Consider the following 27,997-nt stretch of genomic DNA (forward strand, 5'->3'; position numbering starts at 1 on the left):
TTCCTGGAGTGAGGGGATTACTTTTAAGTATTCCATTATCACTGACCACTGCATACCCCGCTTTTTGAAGTCCTTTTTCTACAAAGGAACTTCCATCTGTATACAAGTTGAGGTCGGGATCAGTCAAGGGAACCTCTAGAAGGTCCCCTCGAGCGGCACAAGTTTGAGCAATTACTTGTTGACAGTTATGTTCTATCTTTTCTTCATTGTCTGGAAGAAATGTGGCTGGGTTAAGAGTTGCACAAGTGCACAGTCATACACTGGCCCTTCAAGTAATAGAGCCTGATATTTAAGTAAACGGTTGTCTGACAGCCATAAGTCTCCTTTAGCAGTGAGTATGCCATTCACATCATGAGATGTCCACACAGTAAGATCTCTTCCCTGTATTATTTTAACTGCTTCAGATACTAAGATTGCTACTGCTGCCACTACCCGTAAACAATGAGGCCAACCCTTTGCCACTACATCAATTTCCTTACTCAGGTATGCCACGGGTTGCAAGCTGGTCCCTCGGATCTGTGTAAGGACTCCTAGAGCTATTCCTGTTTTTTCTGTGACATATAAAGAAACATATAAGCTTATTGGCAAGCTTAACACTGGGGCTTGGGTTAGGGCCTTCTTTAGGGCCCAGAAAGCTGCTTCTGCTTCAGGCGTCCATCTTACTAAATGGGTATTGGCTTTCTGAGTTTTCTTATTTAGTGTATCTAATGGCCTGGCTATTTCACTGTACCTGGGAATCCATATTTGGTGGAAGCCTGTTATGCCAAGAACCCTCTTAGTTGCTTTGGTGTTTTGGGATGAGGATAAGCCAGTAGAGGCTGCGTACGTTTCTCACGGAGGGCCCTGGTGCCTTTGGATAATTTTAGCGCTAAGTATTTAACATGCTGTGAGCAGAGCTGAGCCTTTGGTTTGGAAACCTTGTAGCCACAGGCGGTGAAGAAATTTAAGAGCGCTTGGGTGGGGCCGGGTGTGGTGGCTCACGCCTGTAATCCCAGCACTTTGGGAGGCTGAGGCAGGCAGATCACAAGATCAGGAGATTGAGACCATCCTGGCTAACACGGTGAAACCCCGTCTCTACTAAAAATACAAAAAAATTAGCCAGGCATGGTGGCAGGTGCCTATAGTCCCAGCTACTTGGGAGGCTGAGGCAGGAGAATGACGTGAACTTGGGAGGCGGTGCTTGCGGTGAGCTGAGATCACGCCACTGCACTCCAGCCTGGGTGACAGAGAAAGACTCCGTCTCAAAAAAAAAAAAAAAAAGCGCTTGGGTGGCTTGATGGCACAAGGTTTCTGAAAGGGTGGCTAAAAGTAAATCATCCAAGCACCGAAGGACAACGGTGTCCAGGTATGAGAACTGGCTCAAGTTGGGCTAATGTCTGTCGAAATAGATGGGGGCTATCCCTGACCCCTTGGGGTAAAACAGTCCAGGTGAGTTGAGACGTTGGGTTTGAAGGCTCTTCAAAGGCAAACAAGAATTGAGAGTCAGGATGTACAGGGATGCAGAAAAAGGCATCCTTAAGGTCCAGGACTGTAAACAACTCTGCTTCTTCTGGTATTTAGGAAAACAGAGTATAAGGGTTAGGTACAGCTGGGTATAGAGGGACAGTGGCCTCATTGATAATCCTGAGATCTTGCACTAACCTCCACTGTCTGTTGGGCTTCTGTACTCCTAAAATTGGAGTATTGCAGGGGCTATTGCATACTTTTACTAGGCCTTGGGCTTTTGGGTCCTTAACAATCTTTTGGAGTCCTTGTTGGCCTCGGGTCTAAGGGGTTACTGCCTTTGGCAGGGAAAGGAGGTGGAATCCTTTAACTTGAACAGGACGGGCATTTTTTGCTCATCTATATTGTCCTTCTGTTGCCTAGACTTTAGGATTAATTCCTTCCTCAAGCAGGGGACAACAAACGGGTGTTCCTTCTCCTACGTTCAAGTGTAAAATGGCCCCTGCTTTTGATAGAATGTCTCTCCCTAACAAGGGAGTGGGGCTTTCGGGCATAATTAGAAAAGCATGTGAAAAGAGTAAAGCTCCCCAGTCACACCTTAGTGGCTGGGAGAAGTATCTAGTGACTGGCTGTCCTAGGACGCCTCGGATAGTGACAGATCTGGAAGACAGTTGTCCGGGACAGGAGAGTAAGACTGAGAAGGCCGCGCCAGTGTCCAGGAGACAGTTAACCTCCTGGCCGTCAATGATCAAGCATACCTGGGGCTCTGTGAGGGTGATGGCATGGGCTGGTGCTTGCCCTGGGCACCCTCAGTCCTGTCCTGCTGCTGGATCATCTGGTTAGTGGCTTCTGACTTAGAGAACCTTCGTCCCCTGGGGCAGTGGGTCTTCCAGTGATTCCCTTGACATAAGGGGCGTGGACGAGGGGGCGGCTTATTTCTATTCGGACAGTCTTTTTTAAAGTGTCCTTGGAGACCGCACTGGAAGCAAGCCCTATTAGGCATTGGATTTGCCCAGCCTTTCCGTATTCCAGAGCCTCCACAATCCACTTGCCTGAGGGCCATGACTAAAGGGGTGGCCTTTTTCTTATCTCGTTTGTCCCGTTCCGCCTGCTCCTCCTGATCTCTATTATAAAAAATGGAGGTTGCCAAGTTCAATAGGGTTTCTAAGTTTTGCTCCAGGCCTAAGGCAGACTTTTGAAGTTTTTTTCTAATGTCTGCAGCTGAGTGAGTGAGAAATTTATCCTTTAAGATTAGTTAGCCTTCAGTAGAGTCAGGTGACAGGGAGGTATGCTTCCTCAATGCCTCCCTTAGTCTCTCCAGAAAGACAGTAGGATTTTCTTCCCTTCCCTGTGTTACAGTGGACATCATTGAATAATTCATAGGCTTCTTCCTAGTTTTCCTTAGTCCTTCTAGCACACAAGTTAGCAAATGTCTGCAGCACCAATCTCCATGTTCTCATTCTGTGTCCCAATGAGGGTCTACACTGGGAACTGCCTGCTGGCCTGTGGGGAATCATTCTCTTTCCTCTGTTGTCATCCTATCATCGACCTGACTGAGACACCAGAGATCTCCAAGCTCTCGGGCTGCAGTAATGGCAGCACTTCTCTCATTAGGGGTTAGTGTCTGATCTAGCAGTAACATTGCATCTCTCCATGTCAGATCAAAGGATTGTCCTAACCCTCATAAAACATCAATATAGCCATCGGGGTTATCTGAGAATTTACCTAGGTCTATTTTAATTTGCTTCAAGTCTGAGAGGGAAAAAGGCACATACACTCTGGCTGGGCCGAATTCTCCAGAATACATCTTAGGAGCGTTTTTGCCTTAGGGGAACTTTTCCTATCTGGAAAAAGAACATAGGGATGCCAGGACCCCTGGTTATTTTCTGATGAGCGTTAGTCCTAGAGTGTCCTCTATGTTCCTAATGCTTATTCCTTTCCAGGGTGCGTAACCACCCACGGACCTCTGCTTATTGGATTAGTTACACTCACCGACGTAGCAGGTCCTGCACCTGTTTTCCCACCTTTCTTGACCACAAAGAAAGAGGTCCGGGCTATTGATTCTAGTGGTCCTTTAATAGTGTGCCCGACATTGCCTTTACACCCAAGGGTGAGTTCTAGAGCTGGGCTGGGTTCCTGAGTATTTCATAATAAACCCCAGTTACCCCATCAAGATGCACTCCCATAAACAACAGTTCTTATGCAAATTCATTTCAGAGAGGGTGTGGGTAACCTTTTGAGTCAGGATTGAGATAGAGTTTTTTGATTCTGTAAGTACTTTCAGGCTTGGCTGAGTGCAAACAGCTCGCACGTTTGAGCAGACCCATTATTAGGCAATTTTCTTAACTCTACTTCTACCAGAGTTTCCCTCAATTACTGAATACCCATTGTGTTTTTTTCTCAATCACTTGGGAGGAACCATCTATTGTCCTGTCCTGAAGGGAGTTCCTCCTAGGTCTGGTCGGACCTTAGTATGGTAAATAAGATTTAAATCCCCTGTTAGGAAGTCTGCTGGGTTAAGGGAATTTTCAGTGGTTAACATTAAATTATCTTTCTCTAACAGAATAGCCCCATACTTTAAGATTTTTGAGTTAGTAAGCTACCTTTTTGCTTTTTTGACTTAGGATAGTTCTGAACTGGTGAGGTGTGCTCACAATGGGGTTTCCTCTAAAGGCTAATTTTCTGCTCTCTTCTGTTAGCAAAGCAGTTGCCACTACAGATTGAATGCATTTGGCCCCCCAGGGGTTACTGGGTTAAGGATTTTTGATAGGAAGGCTACTGGTTGTCAGTGGCCTCAGTGCTTTCGGGCTACACCCTTATTTACAATGACAACAAAGTAGTATTGGAGTGTTATAGGGTCACAGAGAAAACCTTCAGTTATCAATTATAAGTTTTAAATTTACCCTGGCTTTTAAAGAAATAGGGTACACTGTTTTTTCTTTACTACTTCTTTCTCTCTTATGTTCTCCTTTCTGTCTTTGCAGATGGATTTTTGGAAACAGTGGAAGGACGTTCGCTCGTTGCCCCCATTTGCCACTATAGGAATATGTACCTTCCTTTTATTTACTCAATTTACTTATATCCTGATCTATTATGTTGTTGTAGACCCAGTTCCAATTGTTAAAATACTGGGTTATCAGTTCTAAGGCCTTGGCAAGGGTGGTAGGAGCGGGTCCCACCTAACTGCCCATGTCAAGAGCTGTATGCCTAAATTGGGGGGAACACCAGGGACAAGACTCCCTGGGTTCATAGCCTAGGGGCCTAAGGACACAGCGTAGAGCTTCCTTAGATCCCTTTGGAGATACAACCTGCTCTAATACTTGGGAGAGGAAGTGAAAGTCTGAAGCATTAGTATCTAGGAGGCAGGGATCAGAGGAAGTAGATTCAGCAGTAAGGAGAATTTTGCGGCTACACTTTCAAGAAATTCATGCTCAGGACCCAGGAAGTATGGGTCAAAAGGAAAGGTAGGGGTGCATGTATGGACAACTGTTGAGTAGAGACTTCTGGCCACACCATAATCTCAACAGGCTAATGATGGGAGTTCAGGACGACAGCTTTCTGCCTCTAATCAGCCTTCAGCTTCCCCAGAAAGTGGAAGCTGGTTCCAGGCAGACCACGCTCCCAACCCAGAAGGGTTGGGGGTTGTTAGAAAGCCCTTTCCCAGACAGCCTCACACCTGAGTCTTAAGTCCAGTGTTTTTAACCTGCCAACTGGTGCCCGGTATTTTCCTCCAATTCTAAGGAAGGATAGGACAGAATAGCAAGCGAAAGTGGTCCAATATTACTCACCACTTTGGAGGTCCCTTCATGATCACCAAAATGTTACTGGGGGGGGTCCTTGTTCTTAGACCTCCCAAGATTGTGGCATCCACTCTCAAGATGGCAGCAAGCCTTTTGTTCTCTGACCTGGGGTTCTTGGCCTCACTGATTCCAAGGAATGGAATCTTGGGCCATGCTGTGAGTGTTATAGCTCTCTTAGAAGCCGTGGGTCATGGAAGAGAACTGTGGAACCCAGCGACTAGTGTTCAGCTTGATTAGCATGAACCTGGGCACTTAGCTGTGCAGGAATAATGGCGAGCCTTTAGCTTGATGGGGGGTGGCAATGGGCGCCTCACTGGATCAGGAGCACAGCCGACACCCTGCCGGACCTGGACAGGTGGAAGTCAGCAGCGAGTCTGCGATGGTGGCATTCAGCAGTGGTGGACGGCAAGTGAAAGCTCAGCTCGAGCCGTAACAAACACAGAACAGAAGAATGTGCAGTTGCAAGATCTAATAGAGTGAAAACAGAGCTCCCATAAAATGGGAGGGGACCCAAAGGGGGTTGCCATTGCCGGCTCGAATGCCTGGGTTTATATCCCAATCATTGTCCCTCCCTCTGTGCTCTCAGGTGTTAGATGATTGGCTATTTCTTTACCTCCTGTTTTAGCCTAATTAGCATTTTAGTGAGCTCTCTTTACTACCTGATTGGTTGGGTGTGAGCTAAGTTGCAAGCACCGTGTTTAAATGTAGATGCGGTCACCTTCCCAGCTAGGCTTAGGGATTCTTAGTCGGCCTAGGAAATCCAGCTAGTCCTTTATCTCAATATGTCTTTTTGCGTCTGTCTTCTTTCACAAGAATCATGTTTTCAAGATTCACCCACGTTGTGTGTGAAAAAAACAACAAGAAAAAACAAAAACTCTACTCCCCAAATGCTCGGGAAAACTGATTTGAGTGATAATAAAACTCTGGTCTCCCACACAGCCGGCTCTGCATGAATTACTCTTTTTTGTTGTGTTGTTGTTGTTGTTGTTGTTGTTTTTGGAGACAGTCTTGCTCTGTTGCCCAGGTTGGAGTGCAGTGGTGCGATCTCGGCTCACTGCCACCTCCGGCTCCTGGGTTCAAGTGATTCTCTTGCCTCAGCCTCCAAAGTAGCTGGGACTACAGGTGTGCACTGCCATGACCGGCTAATTTTTGTATTTTCAGTAGAGGCGGGGTTTTGCCATGTTAGTTAAGCTGGTCTTGAACTCCTGACCTCAGGTGATCCACCTGCCTTGGCCTCCCAAAGTGCTGGGATTACAGACACGAGCCACCGCACCCGTCCCAATTATTCTTTCTCGATTGCAATTCCCCTGTCTCCACGAATCAGCTTTGTTTCAGCAGTGGGCAAGGTGAACCCCTTGGGCGGTTACACTACCATTGCAGAGTGTTAAGCAGTTGCGATAGAGCCTGTGTGGCTGCAGAGCTGAAGATGTATATACTACCTGGACCTTTGCAGGAAAGGTTTACTGAAAACGTTTACTGATTTTTTTTTTTTTTTTTTTTTTTTTCTCTGTTGCCCAGGTTGGAGTGCAATGCTGCAATCTGTGCTCACTGCAACCTCCGCCTCCCAGGTTCAAAAGATTCTCCTGCCTCGGCCTCCCGAGCAGCTGGGATTACAGGTGCCCACCACCAAACCCGGCTAATTTTTGTATTTTTAGTAGAGGCAGGGTTTCACCGTGTTGGCCAGGCTGGTCTTGAACTCCTGACCTCAGATGATCTGCCCTCCTCGGCCTCTCAAAGTGCTGGGATTACAGGCGTGAGCCATTGTGCCCGGTTGTTTGCTGACTCTTGTCCTAGATTTTTTTTTTTTTCAGAGTGAGACAGGGTCTCACTTTGTCATGAAAGCTGGAGTGCAGTGCCACAGTCACAGCTCACTGCAGCCTTGACCTCCCAAGCTCAGGTGATCCTCCCACTTAGCCTCCTGAGTTGGAGTGCAGTGCCACAGTCTCAGCTCTCTGCAGCCTTGACCTCCCACGCTCAAGTGATCCTCCCACTCAGCCTCCTGAGTAGTTGGGACTACAGGTGTGCACCACCATGCCTGGCTAATTTTTAATTTTTAGTAGGGACGGGGTCTTACTAAGTTGCCCAGGCTTGTCTCAAATTCCTGGGCTCAAGCAATCTGCCCAACTCAGCCTCCCAGCATGCTGGGATTACACAGGTAAACCATCACGCCAGCCTGTCCTAGATCATTAAGCAATTCGTGGGTGGACCTAGTAAATGAGGCTCCCACGTGACAGCCAAGTGTGAGCCGCATCATTGTTCACATGTTCCAGATCATTTTCCCAAACAGTGGTCACAGATAGGCGCCAAAAGCCTGGAGATGCCACCCGGATTCTCCCCTACCTGGGTGGGTTGAATCCTAGGGCAGGTCAGAGAGCTGAGAGCATGAACTTGCCTGAGTCCCCTCCAGGTGCCACAGGGAGCCTCGGCTAGATCCTCTGTGCATCTGTTATCCCCTCAGGAAAATGGGAGGGACGATAAGAAGACCTCTCAGAGGATGGGCCAGGTGTGGTAGCTCACATCTATAATCCCAGCACTTTGGGAGGCTGAGGCGGACGGATCATGAGGTCAGGAGATCGAGACCATCCTGGCTAACACGGTGAAACACCGTCTCTACTAAAAATACAAAAAATTAGCCAGGCGTGGTGGTCGGCGCCTTAGTCCCAGCTACTCGGGAGGCTGAAGCAGGAGAATGGTGTGAACCCTGGAGGCGGGGCTTGCTGTGAGCTGAGATCTCATCACTACACTCCAGCCTGGGTGACAGAGTGAGATTCCGTCTCAAAAAAAAAAAAAAAGACCTCTCAGAGGATTAAGTTAGCTGTGCCTGGTGGCTCATGCCTGTAATCCCAGCACTTCAAGAGGCCGAGGCGGGAGGATTCATTGAGTTTGGGAGTTCCAGACTAGCCTGGGCAACATAGTGAGACCCCCATCTCCACAAAAATTAAAAAAAATAGCTGGAGTGGCGTGCGCCTGTAGTCCCAGCTGCTCAGGAGGCTGAGGTGGGAGGATCGCTGGAGTGTGGGAGGTCAAGGCTGCAGTGAGCCGAGATCATGTAACTCACTCCAGCCTGGTGACACAGGGAGAGTCTGTCAAAAAAGAGAACAAAACAACGTGTAGCTCCTTTAGGAGGAGCCACACCCGCTTCCTGTCCCAAGCTGCTTCCATTCCACAGCCCAGCCCCAGAGAGCTGCAGAAGTCAGAGTTCTGATCTCCTGAAAAAATCTTTGTCCTCCACTAGGGCGCTTTAGGTAGATCTCGGAGCCACCAGGCTGGATCCTAGGGCCTCCAGCCTCTTTGTTTAAAAAAAAGGAGGGGTGGGCATGTTAGAGAAGGAAGTGGAGGAAGGGAAGCTTGGCAGCCCACCCTCACTCCTGGGGGTGCCGGAGGGGCATGAGGGAGCCACCAGGCAGGGTGGGCCTCACCCTTGGCCCTGGAGCAGGCTCCTAGCAGTGGGAGTGGGGACAGCCTGGGGCGCTTGAGGGAGGTCCTGGGCAGCTTCGGTCCTGGGTGCTCTCTGGGCCCCACCCATGTGCCCTGAGGCTCAGAAAATCTTTTGGTTGTTTTTATGCTGCTAGACAGACTCTGACCTCACACTAGGAATCCTACTCCTAGGTATTTATACAAATCACATTTGGGAAATGTTCTTAGCAGCTTCACGCATAAATAGCCCAAAGCTAGAACCAGAGAAGTCTGTGAAGAGGCAAATCAATTTTCCATCCTCCAAGGATGTAGGCTGCTCACTGGAGGTACCTAAGGATGGGCCTCCACTCAGCCACGGGAAAGAATGGATCCCGCTCAGCCACAGGAAAGGATGGATCCCTCTCAGCCACATGAAAGGATGGCCCTCACTCAGCCATGGAAAAGGATGGCCCCCACTCAGCCACGAGAGAGGATGGACGCCCGCTCACCCACGGGAGAGGATGGACCCCCACTCAGCCACGGGAAGGATGGATCCTGCTCAGCCATGGGACAGGATGTCCCCTCACTCCGCCACAGGAAAGGATGGCCCCTCACTCTGCCACGGGAAAGGATGGCCCTCCAGCCACAGAAAGGATGACCCCCACTCAGTCACAGGAAAGGATGGATCCCCCTATTCAGCCACGGGAGAGGATGCCCCCCCACCGACTCAGCCATGGGAAAGGAAGGCCCTCCATTCAGCCACAGAAAGGATGACCCCCACTCAGCCACGGCAAAGGATGGACCTCCATTCAGCCACAGAAAGGATGACCCCCACTCAGCCACGGCAAAGGATGGCCCTCCATTCAGCCACAGAAAGGATGACCCCCACTCAGCCACGGGAAAGGATGGCCCCCCACTCAGCCACGGGAAAGGATGGATCCCACTCAGCCAAGGGAGAGGATGGCCCCCCCACTCAGTCACGGGAAAGGATGGATCTCGCTCAGCCACGGGAAACAGCCAGAGGGATGAGTGCACATGGGCCCAAACCAAGACGCAAACGAAGAGACCCGGCTGCAGAGTCCACTTCTGTGGGATTCTAGAAGATGCAAACTCATTGATAGCCTTGAAATCAGATCACTTTTGGCCTGGGGTGGGGTTTGAATGGGAAAGAGCGGGAGATAACTTTTGGGCGATAGAAATGCTCTGTGTTGATTGGGAGTGGATAAATGGGTTTGTACGTTTGTCAAAACTCACTGAACTGAACTCTTAGAATGTGAACCTTTAATTGTATGTGGATTATACCCCCCGATAAAGTTGATTTTTTTTTTTTTTTGGAGACAGACTCTAGCTCTGTTGCCAGGCTGGAGTTCAGTGGCACAATCTCGGAGCACTGCAACTTCCACCTCCCAGGTTCAAGCAATTCTCCTGCCTCAGCCTCCCTAGTGGCTGGGATTACAGGCATATGCTACCATGCCCAGCTAATTTTTTGTATTTTTAGTAGAGAGGGGGTTTCACCGTGTTAGTCAGGATGGTCTCGATCTCCTGACCTCGTGATACACCTGCTTCAGCCTCGCAAAGTGCTGGGATTACAGGTGTGAGCCACCCGCATCCTGCAAGGGAGTAGAGTTTTTAAGGATAACTTGGTTGGTGGGGGGAAGCCAGTGAGCCAGGATGCTGATTGGTCAGAGATGAAATCATAGCAAGTCAAAGCTGTCTTTCCTCTTGCACTGAGTCAGTTCCTGGGTGGGGGCCACAAGATCTGACGAGCCTGTTTATCCATCTGGGTGGTGCCAGCTGATCCATCAAGTGCAGGGTCTGCAAAATATCTCAAGCGCTGATCTTAGGAGCAGTTTAGGGAGGGTCAGAATCTTGTAGCCTCCAGCTGCATGGCTCCTAAACCGTAATTTCTAATCCTGTGGCTAATGTTAGGCAAGAAGGAGGTTTGCTTTGGGAAAGGGCTGTTACCGTCTTTGTTTAAACTGTAAACTACAAGCTAAGTTTCTCCCAAAGTTAGTTCAGCCTACGCCCAGGAATGAACAAAGACAGCTTGGAGGTTAGAAGGAAGATGGAGTCGGTTAAGTTAGATCTTTCACTGTCTCAGTCATAATTTTACAAAGGCGATGTCAGTAGCACTAAAGAAGGCAGAAACAACCAATAAACGCAGACCATGGCTTCAGGAAAACTTTATTTACAAAAGCAGGCAGTTAACATTCAGAATACATAACCAACTCCCACAACTCAACAGCAAAAAATCAAGCCACCAGATTACAAAATGGGCAAAGCACTTGAATAGGCATTTCTCCAAAGGAGATACACAAGTGGCCAGTAAGCACCTGCAAATGTTGACAAAAAGAGTCAAAATCTGTAAAATATTTGAAGAGATTTATTCTGAGCCAAACATGAGTGACCCTGACCTGTGACACAGCCTCAGGGGGTCCCGGGAACACATGCCCAAGGTGGTCGGGGCGCAGCTTGGTTTTATACATTTTAGGGAGACAGGAGACATCAATCAAATACATTAAAGAAAGACACTGTTTGGTCCAGAAGGGCGAGACAACTCAAAGGGGTGGTGGGCAGGCCTCCAGGCTATAGGTAAATTTAAACATTTTCTGGTTGACAATTGGTTGAGTTTGTCTAAAAACCTGGGATCCATAGAAAGGAAATGTTCAGGTTAAGAGAAAAGATTGTGGAGGCTAAAGTTTCTTTGAGGTCTTACAATGGCTGCCCTTAGAGAGACAGTAAGTGACAAATAATTCCTATGCTAGACTTTAAGTTAATCTCTTTAGGATTGGGAGGGCCTGAAAGAAAAAGATCTAGCTATGTTAATAGAGATTCTTCACAGATGCAAATTTTTCCCCACAAAGGAGGGCTTTGCAAAGCCTTCAAAATATGGCTAACCAGGCCGGGCGCGGTGGCTCACGCCTGCAATCCCAGCACTTTGGGAGGCCAAGGCGGGTGGATCACGAGGTCAGGAGATCGAGACCATCCTAGCTAACACAGTGAAACCCCGTCTCTACTAAAAAATACAAAAAAATTAGCCGGGCGTGGTGGCGGGCACCTGTAGTCCCAGCTACGTGGGAGGCTGAGGCAGGAGAATGGCGTGAACCCGGGAGGTGGAGCTTGCAGTGAGCCGAGATCGCGCCACTGCACTCCAGCCTGGGCGACAGAGCGAGACTCCGTCTCAAAAAAAAAAAAAAAAAAAAAAATACAAAAAATTAGCCAGGTGTGGTGGCAGGCGCCTGTAGTCCCGGCTACTGGGGAGGCTGAGGAGGAGAATGGTGTGAACCCGGGAGGCGGAGCTTGCAGTGAGCTGAGATCGCGCCACTGCACTCCAGCCTGGGTGACAGAGGGAGACTCCATCTCAAAAAAAAAAAAAAAATTAGCCAGGCATGGTGGCAGGTACCTATAGTCCCAGCTACTCAGGAGGCTGAGGCAGGAGAATGGCGTGAACCTGGGAGGCGGAGCTTGCAGTGAGCCGAGATCGCGCCACTGCACTGCAGCCTGGGCAACAGAGCGAGACTCAGTCTCAAAAAAAAAAAAAAAAAGGCTACCAGCGCAGTGGCTCACACCTGTAATCCCAGCACTTTGGGAGGCCAAGGTGGCAGATCACCTGAGGTCAGGAGTTCGAGACCAGCCTGGCCAACATGGAGAAACCCCCTCTCTACTAAAAATACACAAACTGGGTGGGGCGTGGTGGCTCATGCCTGTAATCCCAGCCCTTTGGGAGGCTGAGGCAGGTGGATCACCTGAGGTTGAGAGTTCGAGACCAGCCTGACCAACATGGAGAAACCCTGTCTCTACTAACAATACAAAAATTAGCTGGGTGTGGTGGCAGGTGCCTGTAATCCCAGCTACTTGGGAGGCTGAGGCAGGAGAATCACTTGAACCTGGGAGGCAGAAGTTGCAGTGAGCTGAGATTGTGCCACTCCACTCCAGCCTGAGTGACAGAGAGAGACTCTGTCTAAAAAAAAAAAAATTAAGTCACAATATATAGGATTAAATAAAACCCATCTGATGAGAATTTATGGTTTGTAGGGCATGACTCTCTAGACCCCTTAGATAAGAATTTGGGCAAGATAAAAAATATGAGTTTAGTCCTCACAAAGATGTTCAACATCACTAGTGGTTAGAGAAATGCAAATCAAAACCACAGTCAGGCCGGGTTCAGTGGCTCACGCCTGTAATCCTAGCACTTTGGGAGGCTAAGGCGGGTGGATCACTTGAGGTCAGGAGGATCACTGAGACCAGCCTGGCCAACATTGTGAAACCCCATCTCTACTAAAAATAAAAAATGTAGGCTGGGCACGGTGGCTCATGCCTGTAATCCCAGCACTTTGGGAGGCCAAGGTAGGCAGACTGCCTGAGCTCAGGAGTTCAACACCAGCCTAGGCAACACAGTGAAACCCCGTCTCTACTAAAATACAAAAAAGATTCGCCGGGTGTGGCGGCCTGTGCCTGTAATCCCAGGTACTCAGGAGGCTGAGGCAGGAGAATTGCTTGAACCCGGGAGGCAGAGGTTGCAGTGAGCCGAGATTGTGCCACTGCACTCCAGCCTGGGTGACAGAGCGAGACTCAGTCTCTAAAAAAAACCCAAAACCAAACAAAAATTAGCTCCAGGCGTGGTGGCTCATGCCTGTAATCCCAGCACTTTGGGAGGCCGAGGCAGGCAGATTGCAAGGTCAAGAGATAGAGACCATGGTGGCCAACATGGTGAAACCCCATTTCTACTAAAAATACAAAAATTAGCGGGGCGTGGTGGTGCACACCTATAGTACCAGCTACTCGGGAAGCTGAGGCAGGAGAATTGCTTGAACCCGAGAGGCAGAGGTTGCAATGAGCTGAGATCACTTCATTGCACTCCAGCCTGGGCAACAAGAGCAAAGCTCTGTCTCAAAAAAAAAAAGAAAAAAAAAAATTTAGCCGGGCATGGCGTGCACCTGTAATCCCAGCTACTCAGGAGGCTGAGGCAGGAGAATCACTTGAACCTGGGAGGCAGAGGTTGCAGTGAGCTGAGATTGTGCCACTGCACTTCAGCCTTGGCGACAAGACCACAACTCTGTCTCAAAAAAAAAAACACACACAATGAGATATCAGTTCACACCCATGGGTACTGTTGAAAGCAACTAAGGGAAAAGAACAAGTGTTGGCTGTGGAGAAAGGGAACGCGTGGGTGCTGCTGTTGGGAAGGTAACATGGTGTGGACCTTGTGGAAAATGGTGTGGAGGTTCCTGAAGAAATTAAATAACATTCCCTACAATCCAGCAATTCCACTCCTGGGTATATATTCCAAAGAAGTGAAGGTAGGGACCCAAACAGTTATCTGTGTACCCACATTCGCAGCAGCATGATTCGCGGTAGTCAAAGGTGGAAATAACCATGCGTCCATCCATGGGTAAATGGACAAAGAAAATGTCCAGCTCAAGGAGGCTCACGCCTGGAATCCTAGCACTTTGGAAGGCTGAGGCAGGTGGATTGCTTGAACCCAGGAGTTGGAGACCAGCCTGGGCAACACAGTGAGACCTTGTTTCTACAAAATATGAAAAAATTAGCTGGGTGTGAAGGCGCGTCCCAGGTACTTGGGAGGCTGAGAGGTGGGAGGTTCACCTGAGCCCAGGAGGCGGAGGTTGCAGCGAGCTGTGCTCCTGCCACTGCACTCCAGCCTGGGCTACAGAGTGACATCCTGTCTCAAAAAAAAGAAAAAGAAAAAGGAGAAAGAGAATGTGGTCTATCCATACAATGGGTATCATCCTGCCTTGAAAAGGAAGAATGTTCTGACACACAGGACCGTAAAGGCCACAGCTCAGCCCTGGAAGGACTGTGGAAAAATGAACTCGCAAAAAGCAGGTGAGAAGGAGTGTGCATGTTTATGGAACATGTGCATTCAGGGAGAATCACAGAGCGACTGCCCACACCCTCAGGGAGGTCAGAAGCAAAGCAGGTTATGGGAGGTGGGGAGAAGGGCAGCTCTGTTGAGGGGATACACCGGGAGAATGAATGTGTCTGGGAAGAGAGAGTAACTCCTAGATGGTTCTCTCTGAAGGAAAAGGGTTAACTCGTAGGTGGTTCTCTGAGGGAAAGGATCTGTTCAGGTGTAGCCACATTCTTGCTCTTCCAGGGAGGGGAAGGAATAAACAATTGTTCTCCTTGGCGGGTCCGGATCTTAGGCAGATAAAGAAGCTTTGACTTTGGGAGAAGTGGGGGGAGGCTGGAGAGACCTTGAGCGTTTCTTTCTTCAGTTCAGCGTGTGAAGGTGCCCTATTTTGGGATATCAATTACTGAGCCCCAACATTACAACATAGATGAACCTGGAGAACATCATACTCAGTGAAAGAAGCCAGTCACAAAAGCGCAAATACTATAGGATTCTACTTATATGAGGTTTTCAGAGGAGTCAAACCCACAGAGACAAAAGCAGAAGAGAGGGCCAGCCTCCATGGCTCACGCCTGTAATCCCAGCACTTTGGGAGGCCAAGGCGGGCGGATCACCTGAGCTCAGGAGTTTGAGACCAGCCTGGCCAACATAGCGAGACCCCATCTCTACTAAAAATACAAAAATTAGCCGGGTGTGATGGCACACACCTGTAATCCCAGCTACTTGGGACGCTGAGGCAGGAGAATTGCTTGAACCCGGGAGTCGGAGGTTGCAGTGAGCCAAGATCATGCCACTGCACTCCAGCCTGGGTGACAGAGCAAGACTCTGTCTCAAAAAACAAAAACAAAAACAAAAAACAAACAAAAAAGAAAGTAGAAGAGTGGGTGCCAGGGGCTGAAGGAGGGGAATGAGGAATGAGTCTTTAACGGGGACAGAGTTTGTTTTGGAAGCTGAATGAGTTCTGGAGCTGGATGGTGGTGACGGTTATACAACAATTTTTTTTTTTTTTGAGACAGAGTCTCGCTCTGTCACCCAGGCTGGAGTGCAGTGGCGCGATCTTGGCTCACTGCAAGCTCCACCTCCCGGGTTCATGCCATTCTCCTGCCTCAGCCTCCTGAGTAGCTGGGACTACAGGTGTCCGCCACCACGCCCGGCTAATTTTTTGTATTTTTAGTAGAGACAGGGTTTCACTGTGTTAGCCAGGATGGTCTCCATCTCCTGACCTAGTGATCCGCCCGTCTCGGCCTCCCAAAGTGTTGGGATTAGAGGCGTGAGCCACCACGCCCCGCCTCAACAATGTTTTTATAGAGACAGGGTTTCACCATGTTGCCCAGGCTGGTCTCCAACTCCTGGGCTCAAGCAATTCTCCTGCCTCGGCATCCCAAAGTGCTGGGATTACAGGCGTTTGCCACTACGGCCGGCCCACAACAATGTGATTGTACTTAATGTCACTGAACTGTGCACTTAAAAATGGTTAAGATGGGCCGGGCGCGGTGGCTCACGCCTGCAGTCCCAGCACTTTGGGAGGCCGAGGCAGGTGGATCATGAGGTCAGGTGTTCAAGACCAGCCTGACCAACATGGTGAAACCCCATCTCTACTAAAAATACAAAAATTAGCCAGGTGTGGTGGCGTGTGCCTGTAATCCCAGCTACTTGGGAGGCTGAGGCAGGAGAATCACTTGAACCAGGGAGGTGGAGGTTGCAATGAGCCGAGATCGCGCCATGGCACTCCAGCCTGGGTGAAAAGAGCGAAACTCTGCCTCAAAAAAAACAAAACAAAAAAAAACAAAAACAAACACATTCTGAGGCTGGGTGTGGTGGCTTATGTCTGTTGTTTAATTTTATTTATTTATTTATTTATTTATTTTGAGATGGAGTTTCACTCTTGTCTCCCAGGCTGGAGTGCAATGGTGCGATCTCGGCTCACCGCAACCTCCGCCTCCCGGGTTCAAGCGATTCTCCTGCCTCAGCCTCCCGAGTAGCTGGGATTACAGGCATGCACCACAACACCCGGCTAATTTTGTATTTTTAGTAGAGACAAGGTTTCTCCATGTTGGCCAAGGCTGGTCTCGAACTCCTGACCTCAGGTGATCAGCCCGCCTCGGCCTCCCAAAGTGTTGGGATTACAGGCGTAAGCCACCACGCTGGGCCGATGGCTTACGTCTATAATCCTAACACTTTGGGAGGCCGAGGCGGGAGGATCACTTGGGCCCAGGAGTTTGAGACTAGCCTGGGCAACATAGTGAGATCTCATCTCTACAAAAAATACAAAAATTAGTAGGGTGTGGTGGCGTGCACCTGTAATCCCAGCTGCTTGGGAGGGTGAGGCAGGAGGATCACCTAAACCCAGGTAGTCAAGGCTGCAGTGAGTGGCGATTGAGCCACTGCACTCCAGCCTGGGTGACAGAGTGAGACCCTGTCTCAAAAAAAAGAAACTGTGGTACATATACACCATGAAATACTACACAGCCATAAAAAAGAATGAGATCATGTCCTCTGCAGCAACATGGATGGAGTTGGAGGCCATCATCCTAAGCGAACTAACACAGGAACAGAAAACCAAACACTACATGTTCTCACTTATAAGTGGGAGGTAAACACTGAAAATATACGGGCCGGGCGCTGTGGCTCACACCTATAATCCCAGCACTTTGGGAGGCCGAGGTGGGCAGATCACGAGGTCAGGAGATCGAGACCATCCTGGCTAACACGGTGAAACCTCATCTCTACTAAAAATACAAAAAATTAGCCAGGTGTGGTGGCGGGCGCCTGTAGTTCCAGCTAATCGGGAGGCTGAGGCAGGAGAAAGGCGTGAACCTGGGAGGCGGAGCTTGCAGTGAGCCAAGATAGCGCCACTGCACTCCAGCCTGGGCGAAAGAGCGAGACTCCGTCTCAAAAAAAAAAAAAAGAAAATAGGACACAAAGAAGGGAACAAGAGACACCAGGTCCCACTTGAGGGTGGGAGGGTGGGAGGAGGGAGAGAGGATCAAAAAACTACTTATCGGGTACTCTGCTTATTACCTGGGTGATGAAATAATCCGTTCATCAAACCCTGTGAAACATAATTTACCTGTATAACAAACCTGTCCACACACCACTGAACCTAAAAGTTATAAAAAGAATAAAAAATTTAATAAGACCGCACAAAACAAAAAAGAAACATGTCCTTCCTCGGTGGGCCTAGTAACGGTTTCCAAATGCAAATCCCATCTTGCCATCCCACCCTCTCCTAAACTCTTCCTGGGTATTTCTTTGAGTTTGGGGTGAAGACCCCGTTAGCTTGGCTTTCCAGGCCAGGGTGGGCTGGGCTGGGGTTCCCTGAGTACTTTCCAGGAGTACAGGCTTCGCCATCTCTAGCAATCTCGGCCCTCACGGTCTGCCCTGATCACCTCAGCACGTAGCCACCTGTTCACTCATTTTTCTCTTGCAATTTTGCCACGGGTGGTGCAATCTTTGCTCTTCTTGTCCCCCACCCCTAAGCGCTGGGAGCTCCTGCAGGCGGGTCTTGTTCTCACTGTGTCAACTGCAGCACTTACCTCGCAGCGTGTGCTCTCTGGGCAGGCCGGTGTGCAGCAGGCACTCCAGGATGTGAGTGAATGCTATGGCTGACTACGGGGCACTGTGGAACCTCTTTATTGGGAAAACAAACATGGTGGGCCAGGAGACCTCTTGTCCCTTCCAGCTCGGTGGCTTCTGGCCCCCAGTCCAGGGTCGGGAGTCTGTGTGTCCTGCGGCCTGGAGGATGAGCTGGGTGCAGGTAAAAGGCATCCAGGACTTGCTGATCCAGCCCAGGGCATCAGGCTGTCCAGCTGCTGGGCTGCTCTGGGAGGCAGCATGGAGGGTCCTGGCTGAAGTGTGTGTTTCTGGGCTGTTACTTTAGGACTGTACTGAAGGCTGGGTTGGTGAGCATTGTTTAGAATCATGCATTTGCAAAAGCAGTGCTTGCACGTGGTGAAAGCCATTCCAACTAGCGCGCAACGTGTACGGTGAACAGCACTAACTTTTCCCCGGTCCTCTCTCCCAGAGCAATCGCTGTTGGCTGTGTCTTCTGTGAGTGAGCCCCCGGGCTCTTTTGGCTGCCGGCGGTGTGACTTTGGACACATTCTCCAACTTTTCTCCGCCTTGATTTCCTCATCTGTAAAACAGGGACATAACAGCAAGTGCCTCGTGGAATCATTGAATGGATGCACTAATCGCTGGAAAGTGCGCTGCTTGGCCTAAGTGATGAGTTAGCTGTCATTATAGTTAGGAACGACCATGTACACATTACAGGCGTTTCACACACACACACATCCCAATCCTACCGCTTTCTTAAAACGACAGACAGTACAGTGCCCTGTTCCATATTTTGCTTTTACTTAATTATAATCTTTGGAGAACTCACCCTTGAGCACAGGTATATTTACCTCTGTGCAGTGTTCCACAGGACCGATGCGCAGCCCATCTAGCTAACCTTTCCTCCCCAGCGGATTTATGGGCTATGTCGTTGGTTTGGGTGACAACTTTTTGGTCTACAATTTTTTTTTTTTTTTTTGCAATTTGGCATTATGGAACTCAACTTTAAATGCCTAACCTCTAACTCAGCCATTCTATTTCTAAGAATTAATTCTGCGCAGTCCCCCGTTTTGGGAACATTTCCCACGCCTGTTCTCCATTCTCCTGTAGAAGGGGAACAGGGAGCGGGAAGGAGGGGAACAGGGAAGGGGAGGGAGGGGAACAGGGAGGGGGGACAGGAGGGAGGAGAACAGGCAGTGGGGGCGGGAGGGGAGCGGGGGGGAAGGCATGGGAGGGGGCGGAAGGGAGGGGGCAGGGAGGGAGAGAGGTGATGGGAAGGGGAAAAGGAGGGAGGAGGACGGAGAGAGGGGAAAGGAGGGAGGGGAGCAGAGAAGAAGCGGGGCGGGGAAGGGGCGGGGAAGGGGCGTGGAAGGGAGTGGGGCAAGGAATCAACACTGAGCCCCGTGGCCCGCTCCCGGGTCAGCGCGCCTCTCTGCTCTCACCGGGGCGGGTCCGCTGTTGGCCCCACCCACTCCCAGCCCACCCGGCCCCGCAATGGCCCGGCCCAGCCGCCCACCCCCCCGACAGGCCCCGCCCCATTCCCCGCCCCCCGTCTGTTCGTCACGCCCGGCTCTGCCGCTCCGTCCCGCAGGCCCCGCCCTCATCCCGCCTCCCGGCCCGGCGCGCAGTGCGGCTGCGCGGGCGTCTCAGGCTCTGAGGCCCGGGCGCCGCGGCTCTTTTGTTTCTCCGTTGGGGCCGAGCCCGGGCCCTAGTTGGAGCCGGAGTCGGAGTCGGAGTCGGATCCGGATTCGGATTAGCAGCCCGGGAAGAGTGCCGTGGCACAGGCGCCGGAGGGAGCGCGACCCTCGGACCCCGCCTGGCCCGCGGGGCTGGGACCCGGCCCCGGCCTGCCCGATGGGGCGCGCGGCCCCGGAGATGCGCCCTCGCCCGGCCCCGCGCCCCCGGCCCCGCGCCCCCGGCCCGCCCGCCCCGGCCCGCGCCTCCGCCTGAGTCCCCCGCGCCTTGGCCCGCCACCCCCCGCCCCGCGCCCCCGGCCCGCCTGCGCCATGGAGCCCGGCCGCGGCGGCACAGAGACCGTGGGCAAGTTCGAGTTCTCCCGCAAGGACCTGATCGGCCACGGCGCCTTCGCGGTGGTCTTCAAGGGCCGCCACCGCGAGGTGAGGCCCCCGTCCGGCCCGGGATCCCCCGCCCAGGATCCCCTGCCCCTGCATCCCCGCCCCGAGATTCCCCGCCTGTCCCGGGACCCCCCCACGCCTCCCGAGAGCCCCACTCGACTTTCCAGGCCGACCCCCACCCCAGGATCCCCACCCCGCGACCCCCAGCCCGACTTTCCAGTTCAGACTCCCGCCCCGAGATCCGCTGCCGGGCTTTCCAGCCCAGATCCTCACTCCGAGACCCCCAGCCCGACTTTCCTGTCCAAACCCTCACCCCGGGACACCCCGCAACCTGGTCCCACAGCCGGCTTTCGAGGCTGGATCCCTACCCCAGGACCCCCAGCGCGATCCTCAACCTGGCTCCCCACTCGGCCTTCCAGTCCCGGGATTCCCAACCGGGATCATCTCAGGGCCCCACCTGTGTGGACTGGGGTCTGGGGGAGGCCTGCGAGGGGCAGCCCTGGCCTTGAAGGTGCACGTTTGGCTTTCAGAAGCACGATTTGGAGGTCGCCGTCAAGTGCATTAACAAGAAGAACCTCGCCAAGTCTCAGACGCTGCTGGGGAAGGAAATCAAAATCCTGAAGGTGAGCCAGTGCTGGGGGAGGGGGCGTGGGCGTGGGCGTGGGCAAGCCCCCCTCCCCACACTGATAACAAACTTGGGTTTCTGTCCTAGGAACTGAAACATGAAAACATCGTGGCCCTGTACGACTTCCAGGTAAGGCCTCTGGGCTGCGGTCTGCTGGGGACCGGGCTGGGGGACTGTGGCCCCAGGTGCTGGATCCCCTGGTGAGCACTGGTGTTGAGCCTGTCCAGGCTGGGGTCTACTGGGCCCCTGGAGACTCCACCCTGGGTCCAGGCCTGGGCTGGTGCTGGCTCTTGCTGTGACTTCCCCAGCTGTGAGACCGGGGAGGGGGTGTCTGGGCCGCAGGGCGCCCCAGGGCAGGGCTGAGTTCTCCTGAACAGGCATCCCCTCCCCGCCGGGCGTCAGTCCTAGGGGCCCTGCCTGAGTCCGGCGTCCCCGGCTGGCCCTGGCAGCACTGCCGGCCTGGCCCACCTGTCTAGGCCGTGTGTTTGTTGACATTGCTCCTGCGGCCGGCATTGGCCGGCCTCGCTCTGCGTCAGACGGGGCGGGGGAGGGGCCGCCGGAGACTCCTGCTCGCTGGCAGTCAGGGCCGGGCCGGGGCACAGGCGGCTGCCGCTGGCTGGCCAAGGAGATGACCTCGGGCCCGGCTGGCCCCAAGAAGCAAGCGGTGGGACCAGCTGGCTTTCGTGCTGCCTCCGTGTCCCGGGGCCCAGGGCAGGCAGGGCTGGGGCTGTGGGAGCCAGGGTGCCGTCCTGGGGACCAGGAACCTGAGGCGGGAGATCCGCCCCGCCAAAGTGCTGACTAATGGCTCTGTGACCTGTTTACTGAGCCCAGGGCCCAGCCCCTGGCTGAGGGAAGGGCTGGCAGGCCGTGTTTTGGTGGCCTCCTCCGTCCGCCTCTCAGAGCTTTGCTGTGGCCTTGGGGACCGAGGCTTGTCACAAGGTGCCGGGTGGGGGGGGCCCAGGTCCAGCGAGTACCTGGAAACCCAGGCACACTGTGTCCTGGAGCTGGGCCATCCCTCCTGCTGCTTTTCCCGCCCTCTTCCCACCCCTTTTCTCCCTGCTTTCCTCCCTCCCTTCCTCCTCTTTCCTCATCCTCTCCATGTTTGGAAGCCTCCTGCCTGGACCACAGCCTGCACATGCGTCATGGCTCTGGGAGCCAGCAAGGAGTGGACAGCTGTCCCTGGCCAGGCAGCGACTCTGAGGGACTCCCCCTCCACCCTGGGCTACACTGCCTGCTGCTCCCCTCCAGGGCTCCCCAGGTCCAGTCCTGGGCATCTCCAGGCCAGGCCCTGTGACTGTCCGCACGACCCCCGCAGACCCGGGACCAGTATCCCCAGGCCCAGCTCCATCCCAGTCAGCCACACACACCTGGTTGTGGGCATCTGCCACTTCCTCCAGTGTTGGCAACTCTGCGGCTTTCTCTACTCAGGAAGCACTTGGAGCCGCCAGCTGCAGGCGCTCCTGTCTCCGGGCACCGGGCTCTGCTGGAGCTGCAGCTTAGCCTGCCCTCGCCCCCACAGGCGTGGGGATTGTTGCCCTGTGTCGGTAAGGCAATGTTTGAGGCAGGCACCCAAACCCAGGAAAAAATAACTGGGTTTTAAAAATGGACAATGAACGATTTGGGTGATAAAAGAAAATCCTCAAACATTACGGGAGGGAGTGCGGTCGAGGCTAGAGTCCTGCCCCCGATCGAGTCCCGCTGCCCTCCGTTCTCAGGCCCCTGCTTTAGTTGTTTCCGGGCCACCGGGGACAGCCATCCTTACAAGGCGATGTGTTCACCGGTGTCCTTCCCCGCCACACCCACCTCTCTGCGCCGTGAATTTTGTCACTTAAGAGTATAGTTTGCACTCCATCCAGCCTGGGCGACTGAGCGAGGCCCTGTCTCTAAAAGAGTAGAGCTTGGGGAAGGTTCTGTGCTGGCTCAATCCATATCAGAAAGTTTACCCCTCGGCCAGGCACAGTGGATCACACCTGTGACCCTAGCACTGTGGGAGGCCAAGACAGACCAGCCTGGGCAACATAGCAAGACTCGCTCTCTCTAAAAAAAAGAAAAAAAAAGAAAAAAAATTAGCCAGGCATAGTGGCATGTCTCAGCTACTATAAAGGTTGTAGGAGGATTGATTAAACCCAGGAGTTTAAGGCTGCAGTGAGCCGTGATGTTGCCACCGCGTTCCAGCCTGGGCAGCAGAGTGTAACCCTGTCTCAAAAACACAAAACAAAACCCTCAAAAAGTTTACCCCTCTCTGTTAGAGGTCACCATCTGTAAGCACAGTGGTCGAGAGCCAGGCTGACGCTGATGAGGGGCCCAGTCCTGGCTGCCATATGTGCACACACAGCTTCTTTAGTTTGCGGTCCTATTTCTTCCTCTGTGAAGCAGAAAGCACGGGCTGTGAGGGCTGTGTGAGGGAGGAGGGAGTGCTCTCGGGTTGGAGGAGCCATCGTGGAGGTGCTAGCTGCTGGCCTGATTGGGTCTGCCGTGGTGATTTTCAGCCATGGCGTGCCTGTTGCCCGAGATTCCATAACTGATTTCACCAAGGCCCTGTAGGTGGGACATGAGGTTATTTTGGGATGCTGGTACATCAGGGTGGTTGTGACTGGATCCTTAGAAGTAGAATCCTTGGGTAGGAGGGATGCTGGTTTTTAATTTGGGTAGCTATTGCCAAATGGACCTCCGGAGAGGCAATGCCACTGGTCTCTCAGCCTGTCTCCAAGCATGTGTCTCCCTAGGTCCTTGCCAGGAGGGTGGCTCTCAGAGGTTTCCATCGTGGCTCATGTGAGAAGTAGAAAATGACATCTCTTATGGTTTTGCTTTTCTTTTTTTTTTGAGACTGAGTTTTGCTCTTGTCGCCCAGGCTGGAGTGCAGTGACACAATCTCCCCTCACTGCAACCTCCGCCTCCTGGGTCCAAGCGATCCTCCTGCCTCAGCCTCCCGAGTAGCTGGGATTACAGGCGCCTGCCACCACGCTAGGCTAATTTTTGTATTTGCAGTAGAGACACGGTTTCACCATGTTGGCCAGCCTGGTCTCGAACTGACCTCATGATCCACCCACCTCGGCCTCCCAAAGTGGTGGGATTGCAGGAGTGAACCACCATGCCTGGGCGGTTTTCTTTTACATTGGTGATGAATGAGCTTCCCTATCCGAGCATGGGAATGTTAGAAATACCACCTGTCCTTTGTATAGTGTATTTCTTTTTTTTTTTGAGATGGAGCTTCTCTTTGTCACCCAGGCTGGAGTGCAGTGGCGCGATCTTGGCTCACTGCAACCTCCACCTCCCTGGTTCAAGCGATTCTCCTGCCTCAGCCTCCCGAGTAGCTGGGATTACAGGCACCTGCCACCACGCCCGGCTAATTTTTGTATTAAAAAATTTATACAATTTTCGCCACATTGGCCAGGCTGATCTTGAACGCCGGACCTCACCTTCGACCTCCCAAAGTGCTGGGATTACAGGCATGAGCCACCATGCCCAGCCTGCCTGATATATTTCTATATTTTATATATACGTTTTTCTGAGATGTAGTTTCACTCTTGTTGCCCAGGCTGGAGTGCAGTGGCACCATCTCGACTCACTGCAATCTCCGCCTCCCGGGTTCAAGCGATTCTCCTGCCTCAGCCTCCCGGGTAGCTGGGATTACAGACATGCGCCACCACGCCTGGCTAATTTTGTACTTTTAGTAGAGACAAGGTTTCTCTGTGTTGGTCAGGATGGTCTAGAACTCCCGACCTCAGGTGATCCGCCCACATCGGCCTCCGAAAGTGCTAGGATTACAGGCATGAGCCACCGCTTCTGGCCTATTTTAATATATTTTTTAAAGAGACTGGGTCTCACTCTCTTGCCCAGGCTGGAGTGCAGTGGCATAATCATGGCTCACTGCAGCCTCGAACACCTGAGCTCAAGAGATCCTCCCACTTCAGCCTCCTGAGTAGCTGGGACTACAGATACGCACCACCATACTTGGTTAGGCACATATTTCTGGCAAGCTCTTGGTCCCTTTTGTGCCAAGGCTGGAAGGGTACCATGCTTAACACCATGGCCCCTGAGCCATTCTGCCATTTGCTGGATCCTAGCTCCAACATTTACCTGTGTGACATTGGGCAGGTAGCCTCCTGGCACCTCCGTTTTCTTACCTTTTAAAAACTGTTGGCTGGGTGCAGTGGCTCACGCCTGTAATCCCAGCACTTTGGGAGGCTGAGGCGGGTGGATCATGAGGTCAGGAGATCGAGACTATCCTGGCCAACATGGTGAAACCTCGCCTCTATTAAAATACAAAAATTAGCTGGGCGTGGTGGCCCGTGCCTGTAGTCCCAGCTACTCATGAGGCTGAGGCAGGAGAATCGCTTGAACCCAGGAAGTGGAGGCTGCAGTGAGCTGAGATTGCGCCGCTGCACTCCAGCCTGGGCGACAGAGTGAAACTCTCTCAAAAAAAAAAAAAAAAAAAAAAAACTGTTGTGGTTGTGATGGCATCTTGAGTATGTTAAGTCTTTAGAACTGTGCCTGCCACTTTGTAAGTGCTCTGTCAATGTTCTTGAAAGGTAGGTGTCCTTTATATATGAAGCAAAGTAGCTTCTTTGTGATAGGTTACAGGTATTCCCCGCCATGTTGTTTGTTGACTGTTGAGGTTGTTATTTTTGTTCTTATTGTGTTGGGTTTTGTGTATTGGGTTTCTTTTTTAGCCATACAAAATTGTGAAAATGTGAGTGCCTGGGAAGTGTGTGCCTTGGGTCACGCTCTTTGAGTCCACCACAGCCGCTGGGAGGCGGCTGGAGCACCTGGGGAGCACCTGGCCTCCTTACTGAGCATGTGGTGTCCCTGTCTGGACTTGCCTGGCCCCAGGAGTGCGGCCACCACAGAAATCAGGGTATAGGGCTGTGGAGCCAGGCTGGGATCCTGCCCAGCATGCCCTGGGAGGAGGGCTGATGGCTACTGGCCTTGCTGATGGTGGCCCCCCTGGCCAGCACGCCATCTGACAGGTTCCTTGCAGCTAAAGGTCTTGCTGGGCCACCCAGGTGTGACTCACTCAGGCCCTGCAGACAGAGCCGCTGCCTGTGAGTTACTTGCAGTGGAGACCTGAGTCAAGAGGTGTCCAGCCCTGCTTGGGGTCCTGGGAGACCATGGGTCCAGGCAGTCCAGCCCAGCATGAGACTGTAACTCCCCATCCCAGAGTGAGGAGGGGGCTGCCAGGCCTGGCCTGGTCTGGCCGGGGGGCTGTCTGCAGTGTGAGTTGGGGCAGGATGCAGGCCGAGTAGAAACCCGTGGGGTGGGTACCCAGCTCCTGGGCAGGGGCCTGTGAAGGGGCTCCCAGGGCCCAGGCAGTTCTGGAATTACCTCCGAAGTTGTGTATATCTTTTTTTTTTTTTTTAACTTTGAAAACAATGGGATGAGACTGGGCACAGTGGCTCACGCCTGTAATCCCAGCACTTTGGGAGGCCGAGGTGGGCAGATCACCTGAGGTCAGGAGTTCGAGACCAGCCTGGCCAACATGGCAAAACCCCATCTCTACTAAAAGTACAAAAATTAGCTGGGCGTGGTGGTGGGCGCCTGTAGTCCCAGCTACTTGTGAGGCTGAGGCAGGAGAATCGCTTGAACCTGGGAGGTGGAGGTTGCAGTGAGCTGAGTTTGTGCCACTGCACTCCAGCCTGGGTGACAGCGAGACTCGTCTCAAAAAAAAAAAAAAGAAAAAAATCATGGGATAAAAATACTGGAAAGTGCAAAACAGATGAGAAGATATACCACAACAGGCCCTGTGTGGCGTAGCAAGCGCCAGCCCAAAGCCATGCCCGCGTCCCGGGCCGCTCTCCTCCCTCCTATCGAGGGCACGTCCGTCCTCCTGTGTGCCCCCCTCCCCCTCTGCTTTCTCATTCTTCACGTGAGCCAGCTCCTGGTTCCCACACGCTCCCTTTGCCACATGCTGACTTTAAGCCTGGAGGTGGGATGTCAGCCGTAGGTTGAGGGGTGCTGTGTCTCCGTGGGTGACAGGAGTTGGTTTTTGTTTGTGCGCAGCACCCCGTGGTGGGACTGTCACCTGGTATCAGTATCTGTCCGCGATGGCTGGGGGTCAGGTCTCAGCCACCTGAAGGACAGAGCTGCTGGGAACAGTTTTTACTGGGGTGTGCGCCAACTAGGATGGCCGGGTCTCGGGGGGAATGTGAGGAGTTGGCGTCTTCCTGAGGGTCTCTGCAGCTTACACCCCCTGCACCCCCCAACTCGCACTGGGGTTGTTTCCTGCTTTTTCCAAGCAAGGTCGTGCCCTCAGAAGGGTTGGGCCACCCACCCCTGCCTCACTGCATCTAGGGACCTGCCTCAACCCCCTGCGGCTGGCTCCCGGATTGTCCAGACCCCCAGGCCCAGCAGGCGGGAGGCTGCAGAGGTCAGCCTTGGGCTGCAGCCCCAGGAGGCCCATACACAATGGGCGGCTGCAGGTGGTTCCCCAGGGCCAGAGGGTGGCCCTTCCTTCTTAGGGTGGAGCCGGCATCCCTTCCCTTTTGGGAGCTGTCCAGGAGCCCCGCCTGGGGGTGCAGAGTGGTTCTGTCCAGCCACAGCTGTGGCTTTTGCCACTTTCCGGAGCCAGCTCTGGAGGTGTGAACTAGGTCAGTGCCTGCTCACCAGGCCCAGCCCAGGATCACCAGACAAGAGTAGGGCTGGCAGAGGGTGGGAGCCTGGATCCTATTAAGTAAAGCACCTTAGCACCCCAGGGGTGGGGCAGCCTCCTACGTGCCCAGACACCCGTGCCAGGCTGCCTGGGACACCTGGCTCTGGCCGGCCGTGGGTGCGTGTGTGCAGGGTGTGGGGGCCGGCCTGCCTGGGGAGTGCTGTCCCAGGTCCCTCAGGCATGCTGCCTGGAGACAGTGGGGTGTTGATATTGCTGTCTTTTTGAAGTGTTCTGAGCCTCAGATGCATGTGTTGGGACTTTTCAGGGACAGCCCTGTGGAATGGTCAGCAGCCGTTCCCTGTTTCCTCCCTTTAAATAGGCGGCAAGTTGGGACCCACCTCCCGGGGTGGGGGTGATGGTGCAGGGAGCCTGGTGTGTTTGATTAGGGCATGGGCGGTGTGGCCACAACTGTGTGTGTCACCACGGGACGGACCCCCGGACCCTGTCTTGGGAGGCGAGCTGCTCTGCCTGGGGTGGCCGGTTTCCTCCCCTGGAGCCCAGGGAGGCAGTTGTGGCCCTTTCTGGTGTCTTAACTGGGTGACTTGATTCTGGGAGCTTGCCCGGTCCCCACTGCCCAGGGTA

At 52.7% G+C, this 27,997-nt stretch overlaps 1 protein-coding gene and 1 long non-coding RNA gene across 5 annotated transcripts in view, besides 12 other annotated features; one reads left to right on the forward strand and one right to left on the reverse strand.

Annotated features, from left to right (window-relative positions):
- Positions 1-18,128: 18,128 nt before the first annotated feature.
- LOC124903059 (uncharacterized) lies at positions 18,129-19,229 on the reverse strand. Its single transcript, XR_007063538.1, has 2 exons — positions 18,918-19,229; positions 18,129-18,646 (listed from the first exon to the last, which is right to left on the reverse strand). It is a non-coding gene; the product is annotated as an uncharacterized LOC124903059 (long non-coding RNA).
- Positions 19,363-19,412: a silencer, noted in NCBI's record as "silent region_5101". NCBI's record gives its function as "represses an Ori minimal core promoter by ATAC-STARR-seq in GM12878 lymphoblastoid cells {active_cell/tissue: GM12878}" and the evidence as "EXISTENCE:reporter gene assay evidence [ECO:0000049][PMID:35858748]".
- Positions 19,443-19,952: a silencer, noted in NCBI's record as "silent region_5102". NCBI's record gives its function as "represses an Ori minimal core promoter by ATAC-STARR-seq in GM12878 lymphoblastoid cells {active_cell/tissue: GM12878}" and the evidence as "EXISTENCE:reporter gene assay evidence [ECO:0000049][PMID:35858748]".
- ULK1 (unc-51 like autophagy activating kinase 1) overlaps positions 19,693-27,997 on the forward strand; it is a 28,529-nt gene continuing 20,224 nt past the window's right edge. For all 4 annotated transcript variants that reach the window (XR_007063134.1, XM_011538798.4, NM_003565.4 and 1 more), the window contains exons 1-3: positions 19,693-20,183; positions 20,672-20,764; positions 20,854-20,895. Coding sequence is in view for 3 of the 4 variants with exons in the window: in XM_011538798.4 (XP_011537100.1) it covers positions 20,073-20,183; positions 20,672-20,764; positions 20,854-20,895 (246 nt within the window). In the remaining variant the exon portion in view is untranslated. The remainder of the gene's footprint in view (positions 20,184-20,671; positions 20,765-20,853; positions 20,896-27,997) is intronic.
- Positions 21,020-21,169: a silencer, noted in NCBI's record as "silent region_5103". NCBI's record gives its function as "represses an Ori minimal core promoter by ATAC-STARR-seq in GM12878 lymphoblastoid cells {active_cell/tissue: GM12878}" and the evidence as "EXISTENCE:reporter gene assay evidence [ECO:0000049][PMID:35858748]".
- Positions 21,020-21,419: a biological region, named in NCBI's record as "Sharpr-MPRA regulatory region 8404".
- Positions 21,095-21,389: a silencer, noted in NCBI's record as "tiled region #8404; K562 Repressive DNase unmatched - State 1:Tss". NCBI's record gives its function as "represses a minimal TATA promoter and a strong SV40 promoter by Sharpr-MPRA in K562 cells {active_cell/tissue: K562}" and the evidence as "EXISTENCE:reporter gene assay evidence [ECO:0000049][PMID:27701403]".
- Positions 21,360-21,419: a silencer, noted in NCBI's record as "silent region_5104". NCBI's record gives its function as "represses an Ori minimal core promoter by ATAC-STARR-seq in GM12878 lymphoblastoid cells {active_cell/tissue: GM12878}" and the evidence as "EXISTENCE:reporter gene assay evidence [ECO:0000049][PMID:35858748]".
- Positions 21,450-21,509: a silencer, noted in NCBI's record as "silent region_5105". NCBI's record gives its function as "represses an Ori minimal core promoter by ATAC-STARR-seq in GM12878 lymphoblastoid cells {active_cell/tissue: GM12878}" and the evidence as "EXISTENCE:reporter gene assay evidence [ECO:0000049][PMID:35858748]".
- Positions 21,877-22,674: an enhancer, noted in NCBI's record as "H3K27ac-H3K4me1 hESC enhancer chr12:132381351-132382148 (GRCh37/hg19 assembly coordinates)". NCBI's record gives its function as "activates a minimal SCP1, AML or CMV promoter by ChIP-STARR-seq in primed H9 embryonic stem cells {active_cell/tissue: H9 hESC(primed)}" and the evidence as "EXISTENCE:reporter gene assay evidence [ECO:0000049][PMID:30033119]".
- Positions 25,237-25,754: an enhancer, noted in NCBI's record as "H3K4me1 hESC enhancer chr12:132384711-132385228 (GRCh37/hg19 assembly coordinates)". NCBI's record gives its function as "activates a minimal SCP1, AML or CMV promoter by ChIP-STARR-seq in primed H9 embryonic stem cells {active_cell/tissue: H9 hESC(primed)}" and the evidence as "EXISTENCE:reporter gene assay evidence [ECO:0000049][PMID:30033119]".
- Positions 25,755-26,272: an enhancer, noted in NCBI's record as "H3K4me1 hESC enhancer chr12:132385229-132385746 (GRCh37/hg19 assembly coordinates)". NCBI's record gives its function as "activates a minimal SCP1, AML or CMV promoter by ChIP-STARR-seq in primed H9 embryonic stem cells {active_cell/tissue: H9 hESC(primed)}" and the evidence as "EXISTENCE:reporter gene assay evidence [ECO:0000049][PMID:30033119]".
- Positions 26,427-27,200: an enhancer, noted in NCBI's record as "H3K4me1 hESC enhancer chr12:132385901-132386674 (GRCh37/hg19 assembly coordinates)". NCBI's record gives its function as "activates a minimal SCP1, AML or CMV promoter by ChIP-STARR-seq in naive H9 embryonic stem cells {active_cell/tissue: H9 hESC(naive)}" and the evidence as "EXISTENCE:reporter gene assay evidence [ECO:0000049][PMID:30033119]".
- Positions 27,201-27,973: an enhancer, noted in NCBI's record as "H3K4me1 hESC enhancer chr12:132386675-132387447 (GRCh37/hg19 assembly coordinates)". NCBI's record gives its function as "activates a minimal SCP1, AML or CMV promoter by ChIP-STARR-seq in naive H9 embryonic stem cells {active_cell/tissue: H9 hESC(naive)}" and the evidence as "EXISTENCE:reporter gene assay evidence [ECO:0000049][PMID:30033119]".

Source organism: Homo sapiens, chromosome 12 (genome assembly GCF_000001405.40).
Source record: "Homo sapiens chromosome 12, GRCh38.p14 Primary Assembly".
Lineage (NCBI taxonomy): Eukaryota > Metazoa > Chordata > Mammalia > Primates > Hominidae > Homo > Homo sapiens.